Source organism: Homo sapiens, chromosome 16, assembly GCF_000001405.40.
Source record: "Homo sapiens chromosome 16, GRCh38.p14 Primary Assembly".
Classification (NCBI taxonomy): domain Eukaryota; kingdom Metazoa; phylum Chordata; class Mammalia; order Primates; family Hominidae; genus Homo; species Homo sapiens.
Window position 1 is genome coordinate 22,157,183 of NC_000016.10, and position 12,924 is coordinate 22,170,106.

Sequence of the window (12,924 nt, forward strand, 5' to 3'; positions counted from 1 at the left end):
GGCTGGTCTTGAACTCCTGATCTCAGGGGATCTGCCCGCCTTGGCCTCTCAAAGTGCTGGGATTATAGGCGTGAGCCACTGTGCCTGGCCCATCTCAATTTTTTTTTTTTTTTTAGGCACAGTCTCACTCTTTTTGCCCAGGCTGGAGTGCAGTGGCACGATCTCAGCTCACTGCAACCTCCGCCTCCCAGGTTCAAGCGATTCTCCTGCCTCAGCCTCCCGAGTAGGGTAGCTGGGATTACAGGTGCCTGCCACCACGCCCAGCTAATTTTTTTTATTTTTATTTTTAGTGGAGACGGGGTTTCACCATGTTGGCCAGGCTGGTCTCAAACGCCTGACCTCAGGTGATCCGGCCCGACTGAGACTCCCAAAGTGCTGGGATTACAGGCATGAGTCACCGCGTCCAGCCCATCCAATTTTTAAAATGGACAATAGGTACATGAAAAGGTGCTCAACAGCCTTACCTGCCAGGGAAGTGTAAATTAAAACCACAGTGAGATGCCACTACACTCCCACTAGAATGGCTAAAATAAAAAAGACTGGGGTTGGGCACAGTGGCTCATGCCTCTAATCCCAACACTTTGCGAGGCTGAGATGGGAGGATTGCTTGATGCCAGGGGTTCAACACCAGCCTGGGCAACATAGCAAGACCCCATGTCTCCAAAAATTTAAAAGAAATTAGCCAGGCATGGTGGCCCAATGCATGTAGTTTTAGCTGCTCAGGAGGCTGAGGCATGAGGATCAGTTGAGCCCAGGAGTTTGAGACTACAGTTAGCTATGATTGTGCCATTGCACTCCAGCGTGGGCAACAGAGTAAGACCCTGTCTCTTAAAAACAAACAAACAAAAAGACAAGATGGCCAGGCATGGTGGCTCACACCTGTAATCCCAGCACTTTGGGAGGCCAAGGTGGGCGGATCACATGAAGTCAGAAGTTTGAGACCAGCATGGCCAACATAGTGAAACCCCGTCTCTACTAAAAACAACAAAAATTAGCTGGGCATGGTGGTGCACACCTGTAATTCCAGCTACTCAGGAGGCTGAGGCATGAGAATCGCTTGAACCCAGGAGGTGGAGATTGCAATGAGCTGAGACTGGGCCATTGCACTCCAGCCTGGGCAACAGAATGAGACCCTGTCTCTAAAAACAGAACAAAAAAAGAACTACAATATCAAGATGTGGAACAGTTGGAACACTCATATTCCAATTAGGGTAGGGGTTGGGGTAGGGACGTATAATTTGACTCAATAACTTTGGAAGACTATTTGGCAATTTCTACTAAAGTAAAACATATGCCTACTCTATGATCTAGTAATTCCACTCCAAGGGTAATGAGTGCATATGTTAGACAAAAGACATATAAGAATTTTTCCAGCAGCCTTATTCATTAGAGCTCAAAATTGGAAACTACCCAATGTCCATCAGTGGCAGAATGTGCAAATAAAATCTGATACATTTTACAGTGAAATATTATGCATCAATTTAAAAAGAATGAACGGCTCATGTGGTGGCTCACACCTGAAATCCCAGCACTTTGGGAGACCAAGGCAGGTAGATGGCTTGAGCCCAGGAGTTTGAGACTAGCCTAGGTAACATGGTGAGAACCCATCTTTACAAAAAAATACAAAAATTAGCCAGGCTTGGAGGCATATGCCTGTAGTGCCAGCTACTCAGGAGGCTGAGGTGCAAGGATCACCTGAGCCCAGGAGAGGTTGAGGCTGCAGTGAGCCTTGATCATGCCACTATACTCCAGCCTTGGCAATAGAGTGAGACCCTGCCTGCACCCCCAAAAAAGAATGATCTATACAGCTATATTCAACAAGATGCATCAGTCTCATAATATTGGGCAAAAGAAACCAGACACAAAGGAGTACATACTGTATAAAGTCATTTATATGAAGTTCAAGAACCAGCCAAACTCCTTATTGGTGATTGAAGTCAAAATACTAGTTACCCTGTGGGATGGGGGACACAAAGGGGACATCTGGTGTGATGAAAATATTCTATATATTGATAAAGGTAGGAGTTACATTGAGCTATACATAAGTAAAAATTCATCAAGTTGTTTAAAAACACTCAGTTGTGGCCAGGTGCGGTGGTTCACGCCTGTAATCCCAGCACTTAGGGAGACCAAGGCAGGCAGATGGCTCAAGGCCAGGAGTTCGAGACCAGCCTGGCCAACATGGAGAAACCCTGTCTCTACCAAAAATACAAAAATTAGCCAGGCATGGTGGTGGACGCCTGTAGTCCCAGCTACTCGGAGGCTGAGGCAGGAGAATCGCTTGAACCCGGGAGGTGGAGGTTGCAGTGAGCTGAGATCGTGCCACTGCACTCCAGCCTGGCAACAGAGACTCTGTCTCAAAAAAAACGAAACTCACTTGCTAAGGCTTGATGAGACCCTGCTTTGGCCAGGCTCTGTGCTGGGCCCAGGAAGGCAGTGGTGACCACAACCCCTGCCATGGTAAATCTCAGTCTGGTCCATCTTGCACAGCTGCCATTTTGGGTCACGTCTGTAAATACAGAGAAAAGGGCCTGTGGTGGTTGTATTCATTTGCTAGAGCTGTCATAACAAAGTACCACAAATTGAGTGGATGAAACAACAGAAATGTATTCTCTTATTGTTCTGGAAGCTGGAAATTCAAGATTAAGATGCCCTCAGGGCCATGCTCCCTCTGAAGACACTGGGAAGGATCCGTTCCAGACTTCTCTCCTCCATTCTGGTAGTTCCTTGGCTTTGGGCAGCATAACTACAGCCTTCACATGAAGCTCTGCCTATGTGCATGTCTCTGTTCAAATTTCCCCTCTTTATAAGAACACCAATCATACTGGAGTAGGGGCCCACCCTACTCCACTATGACCTTAACTCATTACATCTGCAGTGACTTTATTTGGAGAGTTAGGGTTAAGTACATGGGATTGGGACTTCCACATATGAATTTTGTGAAGAACACAATTCAACCCGTCACAGATGTAAGTTATGCTTCTCTTTGCAAGACAATATCAGCAGCTGGTACTGGGGAATATGAGTTCTCTGGCCCTGTTGGTGGGAGAAGAATAGGCTGGCCTTTGTGAATGGAAGGTTGAACCAAACACATGGCTTATGAAGTGGGGAAGGACAGGACCTAGGTTCAAATCCCAACCTCCCATGTAATGAGGAGAACAGCTACCATTGTTTGCACACTGATTGAGCCAGCACCATGCTCAACATTTTGCATAGAGCATGTTAGCCATAAACCTCACAGCATGACAACTATAAAGTGCACATCATTTGCAGTTTACAGATGAGGAAACTGAGCCTCGTAGCTGCTCAAAGACACACAGCAAGAAAGTGGCAAAGCCAAGATTTAAATCCAGGACTGACCCTATGGCTTTTCCCCACCACATTTGGAGCCCCTTTTCTGAACCTGTTTCCCTGTCTCTAAAATTGAGCTAAAACAGAGTTGTGAGGATTAAACAAGATCTCTTACCATCTGGCTCATAGAACATGCAGACTAAGATTTTGTTTTTCTCTTCCCCACACCTATGCCCACAGAGGGTGTTGTATGGGTGGAGGCTTTTTCAGTTGCCCTTTTCAGAGCAAAGTGACCAGCCCTTCCTGCTCTCAGCCCCTGTGGCTCCATTACAGCAGTTGTGAGCTCTTGGGCACATGCCTGACCCTCCAATACTGCCACTTGAACATGAGTTTTCTTTTACTGAGACAGGATCTCACTCCATTGCCTGAGCTCTCCAGCATGAGACTGCAGTGGCACAATCACAGCCCACCATAGCCTCCACCTCCCAGGCTCAGGTGATCCTCCTGCCTCAGCCTCCCAAGTAGCTGGGACTACAGGCACATGCCACCATGCCCGGCTAATTTTTTTTTGTAATTTTTTGTAGAGATGGGCTCTCACTATGTTGTCCAGGCTGGTCTTAAATGCCTAGGCTCAAGTGATCTGCCCACCCCAGCCTCCCAAAGTGCTGGGATTACAGGCATGAGCCACCACACCCAGCTGAACATGAGTTTTCAAAGGATGATATGATCCAGCACTGAAGAAGCACCCATCAAAATAGAATGATGTGATTGATGCATAAATCAACAGAGATAAGTGGAAGATTGCAAGACAGGGAGAGTAGATAGATGGGTAGAAGCAAGGAAAGAAAGATATATGTAATGAATTAGATGGGTGGAAGGTTGGATGGATGGAAATTTGGATGGATAGGTGGAAGGATAGATGATGGAAGGTTGGATGGACAGGTTTAAGAATGGATGGATGACAGGTTGTATGGATAGGTTGAAATACAGATGGATGGAAAGGACAGGTTGAAATAAAGATGGATGGAAAGCTGGATGGACAGGTAGAAGTACAGATGGATGGAAGGTTGGATGGATAAGCAGAAGGATGGTCAGGGAGAAGATTGGATGGATAAGTGGAAGGATGGATGATGGAAGGTTAGATGGATAGGTGGAAGGCTGGATGGATAGGTGGAAGGCTGGATGGATGGAAGGTTGGATGGATAGGTGGAAGGATGGATGGATGGAAGGTTGGATGGATAGGTGGAAGGATGGATGGATGGAAGGATGGATGGATAGGTGGAAGGATGGATGATGGAAGAACTTTTTTGGTTTTTTGTTTTTGTTTAAATATTTGCAAATCATTTATCTGATGAAGGATTTGTATCCAGAATATACAAAGAACTCTTAAAAGTCAACAAATAACTCAACTGAAAATGAGCAAAGGATTTGAACAGACACTTCTCCAAAGAAAACACATTAATGTGCCAATGAGCACATGAAAACATGTTCAGCAGCATTAGCTATCAGGAAATTCAAATGAAACCACAATGAGACACCACTTCACACCCAGTAGAATAGTTAAAATTTTAAACATAGATATAATAATAAGTGTTGGTAAGGATGCGGAAGTATTGGAACCCTATACACTGCTGGTAGGATTGTAAAATGGTACAGCTACTTTAGAAAACAGTTTGGCGGTTCTTCTCTAAACACAGAGTAATCATATGACCCAGCAATTCTGCTCCTACATATAGATGAAACCCTTTTTCTTGGGGTTCTAGGACGACTTGGCCTGCAGGACAGAGCCCGGCACGCAGGGCCTTTGCGTCTTTTCCCACAAGAAGCGTGGACCATTTCGCCCATCCCAGCCCTACTGGCTTCAGTTTCCCCTCTATGAGAGCCCGCGGGTCTCCACCTGAGAGAATGCAGGTGCTCCCGCGCCGGGAGTGGGCGGGCAGAAGAGCGGGCGGGGGGCGGTCCGGATGCCTCGTCCCGCCCCGCCCCGCCCCTTTCTGCCCTCCTCGGGAGAAGGAGGTGGCCCGGTGGCCCTGGCGGCGCGGAGACTGGCGCAGCGCGGGGAGCACGCAGCGCCGCGGGAGCCCGGGCCAGGTGAGCGAAGCCCGGACGCGGGCCAGGGAGGGACGCAGGTGCTGGAGGGACAGGGAGGGTGAGGGAGCCAAGAGGGGAGGGGACCCCCACCCTGGAGCTGCCCGCGAGCCCAGCGCTCTCAGGGTCAGTCCCTGATGCTCCCCACCCTTTTGCCAGTTCCTTCCACCAAACCCGCTTTTGGGGTCCCCATCGACCTGGATTCCGGCGGAGACACTGTCTGTGACTCCATCAAAGTTTCCTCATGTTCTCTGGGCCTCAGTTTCCACCTCTGGGTAATGGGAACCATAGCCTGTACTTCACTGAACTTCCAAAAGAATGAGTGAAGCCATGTCCAGGGTGGGTCTGGCGCGCGACCATAGCACAGCCAGATCCCGAACACGCCCCAGAGATTTTGTTCACCCAGCAGCATTTGCTGGCCGCCTGCTTTGCGCCAGGCACTGTTCTAGGTGCTGGGACACTCCAGGGAATGAAATCCTCCTGGAGCTTTGCAATCTAGCCTCGCAAGGCATTCTGGCGTCTGTTTTCTCATGACCACCCTGTGAGGAGCCAGAGCAGCCAGAAATATTTGGGTCCATTCGCGGTTGTGGGTACTAAGGTACAGTGAGGTTTTAAGGCCCTTACCCAAGGGCACACCCCAATAAGTGAGTATCCAAGGCTGAGTCCAGCCTTTGCCACAAAAGGCATCCTCTTAGGGTAGAAAGTCAGCTCTGGTCCCATAGACCCTTCCCCAGAACAGAGTCCTCTGGGCCTGAGTACAGGAGGAGGGCTCGCTGTGGGGCTGCATCCTCTCCTCTCCCTCTCGGGGATTTAGGCCCCTGCTCATGATGGTTTGCAGTCTCTCTCATTAAATCCATGAGTGGGCTGGGCGCAGTGGCTCACGCCTGTAATCCCAGCACTTTGGGAGGCTGAGGGTGGCAGATCACTTGAGACCAGGAGTTTGAGACCAGCCTGGCCAAAATGGTGAAACCCCCGTCTCTACTAAAAATACAAAAATTAACCAGGTGTGGTGGCGCGTGCCTGTAGTCCCAGCTACTCGGGAGGCTGAGGGAGGAGAATTGCTTGAACAAGGCAGGCGGAGGTTGCAGTGAGCCAAGATCACACCACTGCACTCCAGCCTGAGCAACAGAGTGAGACTCCTTCTCTAAATAAATAAATAAAGCCATGAGTGTTCGTGCTTATACGGGGCAGGACTGTATTCCTCACCCAGACATTTGGTGAGCAGGGCAGTAACAGAGGAAATTAAAAATACAGCCCCTCTAGCTGCCAGAGTCCCTGCCCTGTGACCACCACCAGCAAAAAAACATGGGGCTCATCAGTCCAGTCACTCAACAAATACCCGTTCTTTCATGCAGCCAGTATATGCCATGCAGGGCAGAGATGCACCTATCTGTATATGTAGGGCCTGGCGCACAGAGGTCCCTAGCACATGGTTGCTGTTGTTACGGTTAATGATCACCTAGCCCTGGTCATCCAGCCTCATCCTCAGGTGGAGAGGGAGGTCGGGAGGGGGGTGGGGGGATGGACGATGGTGACAGTGACTGACAGCCTGGCTTGCCCTGAGTCTAGACTGAGGGCTGGGCACAGTGGCTAACGCCTGTAATCTCAACACTTTGGGAGGCCAAGGCAGGAGAATTGCTTGAGTTCCAGGAGTTCACTACTAGCCTGGGCAACAGAGTGAGACTCTGTCTCAAAAATTAAAAAAAGATCTAGGGAGCTGGATGCGGTGGCTCACACCTGTAATCCCAGCACTTTGGGAGGCTGAGGTGGGAGGATCACTTGAGGTCAGGAGTTCAAGACCAGCCTGGCCAACATGGTGAAACCCCATCTCTACTAAAAATGCAAAAATTCACCAGGCATGGTAGCATGCACCTGTATTCCCAGCTGCTTGTGGGGCTAAGATGGAAGGATCGCTTGAGCACAGAAGTTTGAAGCTGCAGTGAGCTATGATTGTGCCACTGCACTCCAGCCTGGGCGACAGAGAAAAGAAAGTAGTCTGAGGCTGCAAAGAACAGGATCCTCAGTGCTGTCCCCCTAGGCCCATAGACCAGACCCTAAAGCCTGCAGAGGGATTGGGCAGAACGTGTGGTACCAGCCACCCACACTACTGTCGGACCTTGGAGGACCAGAGGCGTCAGGCATCAGGGTGGAGACAGGCACAGCACTTGGAGTCATGTGCAAGTTTCCAGGGTGCAGAGTCCTTTTGGATCCATGTGGATTCTCCTCCTCCTCCTCTTTCTCTTCCTCCTCTTCCAGAAGGCTCTCCCAATCTCCCCAGTCAGAAAGCAGCCACCTCCCAGTCTGGTGAGGTTCCCGCTGGATGATTTGCCCTGTCTTCCTTTGGTACTCCATGGAAACTGGAATTTTAAGGAACTGGTAGATAAGTCAGGAATGCTTAATGTCAACCTCAGTTACACAGCGTGACTTTGGGCCTCAATTTTCTTAGCTCTAAAATCCAAGTCTTGGCTGCCTTGTCTCTGACTCTGTGCAGAGGACAGCAGCCACACTGGAGTTTTTTGTTTGTTTGTTTGTTTGTTTGTTTTTGAGACTGAGTCTCATTCTATTGCCCAGACTGGGGTGCAGTGGCACCATCTCAGCTCACTGCAACCTCCGCCTTCCAGGTTCAAGCAATTCTTGTGCTTCAGTCTCCTGAGTAGCTGGGATTACAGGTGTGCCCCACTACACCCGGCTAATTTTTGTATTTTCAGTAGAGACAGGATTTCACCATGTTGGCCATGCTGATCTCCAACTCCTGGCCTCAAGTGATCCGCCCACCTCAGCCTCCCAAACTGCTGGGATTACAGACGTGAACCACCACGCCGGGCCCACACTGGAGATTCTTGAGATTCTGAAAGGGGCAGGTTCCCTGGGAACTCAGAGAATTTCTAATTTCCACCTGGAGTTCCCCTCAGTCCTAGAGGTCTAATAATTTATGTGACTTGAAACGATTCTAGAGCATTCTTTCTTCTATTTTTTTTCCCACAGGTGGTCGGTTTCTGGGTCTGCATGGCTCAGTAGAGGATGAAGTCCAACCCCCCACGCTCCTCCCTAGAGGCCTGCAAAGCTGCAGGCCAGGGTGAGAAGAGCTGCCCTGTCTGCCAGGCCTGTGGAGAGGTCTCAGGTCCAAGGTCTGGCTCAGGGTCTGAGTCAAGGCCTGCACCAAAGCCTGGTGCCATTCCAGGGCCTGGACTGGGGCCCAAAGCTATTCCAGGACCTCAGGCGGGTTCTGGTACTGTTCCGAGGCCTGGTGCTATTTCAGGGACTGGACCAGGTCTAGGGCCTGGGCCAGGAGCTGGGTCTGTACCTGGGCCAGGAGCTGGGTCCGTACCTGGTCTAGGAGCTAGGTCCGTACCTGGGCCAGGAGCTGGGTCCGTACCTGGGCCAGGAGCTGGGTCCGTACCTGGGCCAGGAGCTGGGTCTGTACCTGGACCAGGAGCTGGGTCGGGACCTGGTCTAGGAGGTGGGTTGGGACCTGGTGTAGGAGCTGGGCCAGGAGCTGGGTCTGTACCTGGGCCGGGAGCTGGATCGGTACCTGGGCCGGGAGCTGGATCGGTACCTGGGCCGGGAGCTGGATCAGTACCTGGGGCAGGAGCTGGGTCTACACCTGAGCCAGAGCTAGGGCCTGGGCTCAGACAGGGGTCTGGGACTGGGCCCAGACCCAGTGAGTCAACAACAACCCCAACACCAGCGCCGCAGCAGAAGACTCAAGCCAAACCTACAAAGGCTGCCAGGCAGAAGGTTCTAGTGACTGGAGGAGGAGGCTACCTGGGCTTCAGCCTGGGATCCCACCTAGCCAAGAGCGGCACTTCCGTCATTCTGCTTGACCGCCGCAGACCCCAGTGGGAACTGTCCCCGGAAACCAAGTTCATCCAGGTACAAGGAACAAGGGTCTTAATAGACTGGGGCAGTGGTGATGGTCAGGGGACAGTGTTTGATGTGAAACCTGTGGTGTGGAGTTTAGGGGCACACTGTTTGAAGCCAGACTGTTTGAGCTATAGCTCTGGCTCTGGTGCTACCAGCTGGGTAGCTATGGTCACAGAAAGGGGACAATAGTAACCAACACCTACTTCACAGGGTCTCATTGGGAGTTGATGAGACAGTGCACATAAACCTAGCACAGCCCCTGTCACCTACAGAGCGTGATGAATGAGCACGGGATGTTGCTCACGGTGCCCTGTAGAATCATTTAGTGAATCCTGCCCCACCAGCCTTTCCTGATGCTACAGAGGCTTGGCCTGGGCTGGGTCAGGGGGCCAGTTCTGAGACCAGGCAAGGTGCAGAGGTGTTATCTCTTGCCTTGGACTTGAACCCCCTGCCCTCATCTCTTCTTCCTCTGGTGCAGGCTGATGTCCGAGATGAAGAAGCCCTGTACCGTGCCTTCGAAGGGGTGGACTGTGTCTTCCACGTGGCTTCCTATGGAATGTCCGGGGCTGAGAAGGTGGGCTCCTCACACACAACACCTGGAGTTAGACAGAGTGGGGTTCCAGTCCTGGCTCTGCCCTCACACCCATGCATTCCCTATCATGCTTCACCTATTATAGGAGGGACTTGGGCTACTCCCACCCTGCATCCTGCATCCATGACACCAAATACCAGTTCTGCCATTTTTTTTTTTTTTTTTTTTTTTTTTTTTTTTTTTTTTGAGACTGAGTCTCACTCTGTCACCCAGGCTGGAGTGCAGTGGCACAATCTCAGCTCACTGCAACTTCCATCTCCCAGGTTCAAGTGGTTCTTCTGCCTCAGCCTCCTGAGTAGCTGGGATTACAGGTGCCACCAACACGCCCAGCTAATTTTTGTATTTTTAGTAGAAACAGGGTTTCACCATGTTGGCCAGGCTGGTCTCAAGCTCCTGACCTCAGGTGATCTGCCCGCCTTGGCCTCCCAAAGTGCTGGGATTACAGGCAGGAGCCACCGCACCCGGCCCCATTTCTGCCATTTTATAACTGTGTTATCTAGGGCAAGTTTATTTAACCTCTTTGATCCTCTTTCATCATCTGGAAAGTGAGGATATTACTATTGGTAATATCACAACCTCTTCAGAGAGCAATGTAATAGTATCCACCAAAACATATGTATACCCGTTGCCTCAGAAATTACACTCATTTGTGTATTTGCAGCATTGTTTTTAATAACAAAACACCAGAAATAACCTATCAGTTGAGGACTATTTAAATAAATTGTGTTTTACAGTCAAATTCTATGCAGCCATTCAAAAGAAAGAGGTAACTCAAAGTGTGCAGATTAAAAAAATAGTTTCCAAGGTGCAAAGCAGTGTTTGGCATTCTCCTGTTTGTTTCCAAAAAAAGCTAAAGAAACTATTTATTTCTATAGTCACACATGCTTATATGCTGATATTAATAAGAATAGATTATCTCGAGAAACACCGGAAATTTAACAGTGGCTGCCTCTGGGGAGGGAAAAGGAAGATTTGGAATCAGGAGTAGGAGGGAACCTTCTTTTTCACTATACACCCATTTTACTGTTTGAATTCTTTTTAACCTTGATCGTGTTGCCTATGAAACAAAAACAGCCACAACAAGAATAAATATAGAGCCAGGTGTGGTGGCTCACACCTGTAATCCCAGCACTTTGGGAGGCCAAGGTGGGAGGATTGCTTGAGCCCAGGAGTTCGAGACCAGCCTGGGCAACATAGTGAGACCCCTATCTCTATTTAAAAATAATAAAAGTAAATTTTATTATTTTTATTTATTTATTTATTTTTGAGACGGAGTTTCGCTCAGTCACCAAGGCTGGTGTGCAGTGATATGATCTCAGCTCACTGCAGCCTCCACCTCCCAGGCTCAAGCGATTCTTCTGCCTCAGACTCCTGAGTAGCTAAGATTACAGTTGCACGCCACCACACCTGGCTAATTTTTGTATTTTTAGTAGAGATGGGGTTTTGCCATGTTGCTCAAGCTGGTCTCAAACTCCTGACCTGAAGTGATCCGCCCACCTCGGCCTCCCAAAGTGCTGGGATTACAGGCATGAGATACCACACCTGGCCAAAAATTTTTAAAAGAATAAATATAGGCTGGAAGCAGTGGCTCATGCCTGTACCCCCAACATTTGGAGAGGCCAAGGCAGGTGGATCACCTGAGGTCAGGAGTTTGAGACCATCCTGACCAACATGATGAAACCCCATCTCTACTAAATACAAAAACATTAGCCAGGCATGGTGGTGCATGCCTGTAATCCCAGCTACTTGGGAGGCTGAGGCAGGAGAATCATTCAAACCCGGGAGGCAGAGGTTGCAGTGAGCCAAGATTGTACCACTACACTCCACCTTGGACAACAAGAGCTAAACTCGGTCTCAAAAAAATAATAATAATAAATATAGCTTAAAAATAAGCATGGAGCTCATCTCCTGGTGTGATGAGAATTAAATGAGATCATGGATCAGGAAGTTCTTGCCCTGTTCCTGGCCCACAGGAGCCCTCACAGCGGCCTAATTTTTGTTTTTCACATCCCAGCTCCCTCGTGAGGGCCCAGCCCATATTACCATGTTCACCTTACAGATAGGGAAACTGAGGCTTTGAGAGTAGGAAAATGACCCAACAGGTTCTGAGCCCATCTTCTGTGCCAGGCACTGTACCAGGTCCTCTCAAGTGTCTTATTGAGTCCCGCCCACCACCCAGGGGAGGAGGTTGGCCCTCACTTTACAAATGAGGTTGCTGAGGGACAGATGTGTGGGCAGAACCTCCTCTGGCCACCCAGGAAGATGGTGGCAGAGCCAGGCACCCACACTCCAGGTGGGCCTTCGGGATCCCTGCCTCTGAACTGAACATCCTGCTGCCCTGTCCCACCTGACCCCAAGCTCAGCCTTCCAGCCTCAGCAAGAAGGCATGGGTAGCACCATGACTTTCTCACCTGTCTTGTCTTTTAGCTGCAGAAAGAGCAGATTGAGTCTATAAATGTTGGAGGCACCAAACTAGTGATTGATGGTAGGTGCTCAGAGCCGGGTATGACCTGCTGTGCCTCTCCCCCTCTCTCCCTTCTCCTGCTGCAGGCCTGGCTCCCAGGGTGTAGGGTCAAAGGGAGGGCCTGTGGGCAGCGCATCCTTCGTGCACTGCAGACCTCCCCAGGGCCCTGCATGGGTGTGTCAGTGTGGCCTTAGCATGTCTGGGAACATGGGGACCAGAGTTACCTCTCAGGGCTTAGGGACTGGAAAAAGAAAAGTTGCCGAAGCTGGCTGGGCGTGGTGGCTCATGCCTGTAATCCCAGCACTTTGGGAGACCAACAGGGGTGGATCACCTGAGGTCAAGAGTTCGAGACCAGCCTGGCCAAAATGGTGAAACCCCACCTCTACTAAAAATACAAAAAATTAGCCAGGCGTGGTGGCGGGTGCCTGCAGTCCCACCTACCTAGGAGGCTGAGGCAGGAGAATCGCTTGAATCTGAGAGGCAGAGGTTGCAGTGAGCCGAGATCGTGCCACTGCTCTACAGCCTGGGTAACAAGAGCAAAACTCCATCTCAAAATAAATAAATAAATAAAATTTAAAAATAAATAAATAAGTCTGGGCGAGGTGGCTCACGCCTGTAATCCCAG

The 12,924-nt window shown here is 50.0% G+C and overlaps 1 protein-coding gene across 7 annotated transcripts in view; it reads left to right on the top strand.

The window, feature by feature from the left end:
• Positions 5,324-12,924, top strand: part of SDR42E2 (short chain dehydrogenase/reductase family 42E, member 2) — a 29,246-nt gene continuing 21,645 nt past the window's right edge. For 3 of the 7 annotated variants that reach the window (XM_017023978.3, XM_017023980.3, XM_017023981.3), the window contains exons 1-3: positions 8,365-9,252; positions 9,722-9,817; positions 12,263-12,320. In XM_017023978.3, coding sequence (XP_016879467.1) covers positions 8,401-9,252; positions 9,722-9,817; positions 12,263-12,320 — 1,006 coding nt within the window. In that variant the 5' untranslated portion in view covers positions 8,365-8,400. Of the gene's footprint in view, positions 5,383-5,595; positions 5,655-8,364; positions 9,253-9,721; positions 9,818-12,262; positions 12,321-12,924 lie in introns of those variants that run through there. The other 4 variants (NM_001394319.2, NM_001365288.2, XM_017023977.2 and 1 more) reach the window with 4 other exon arrangements.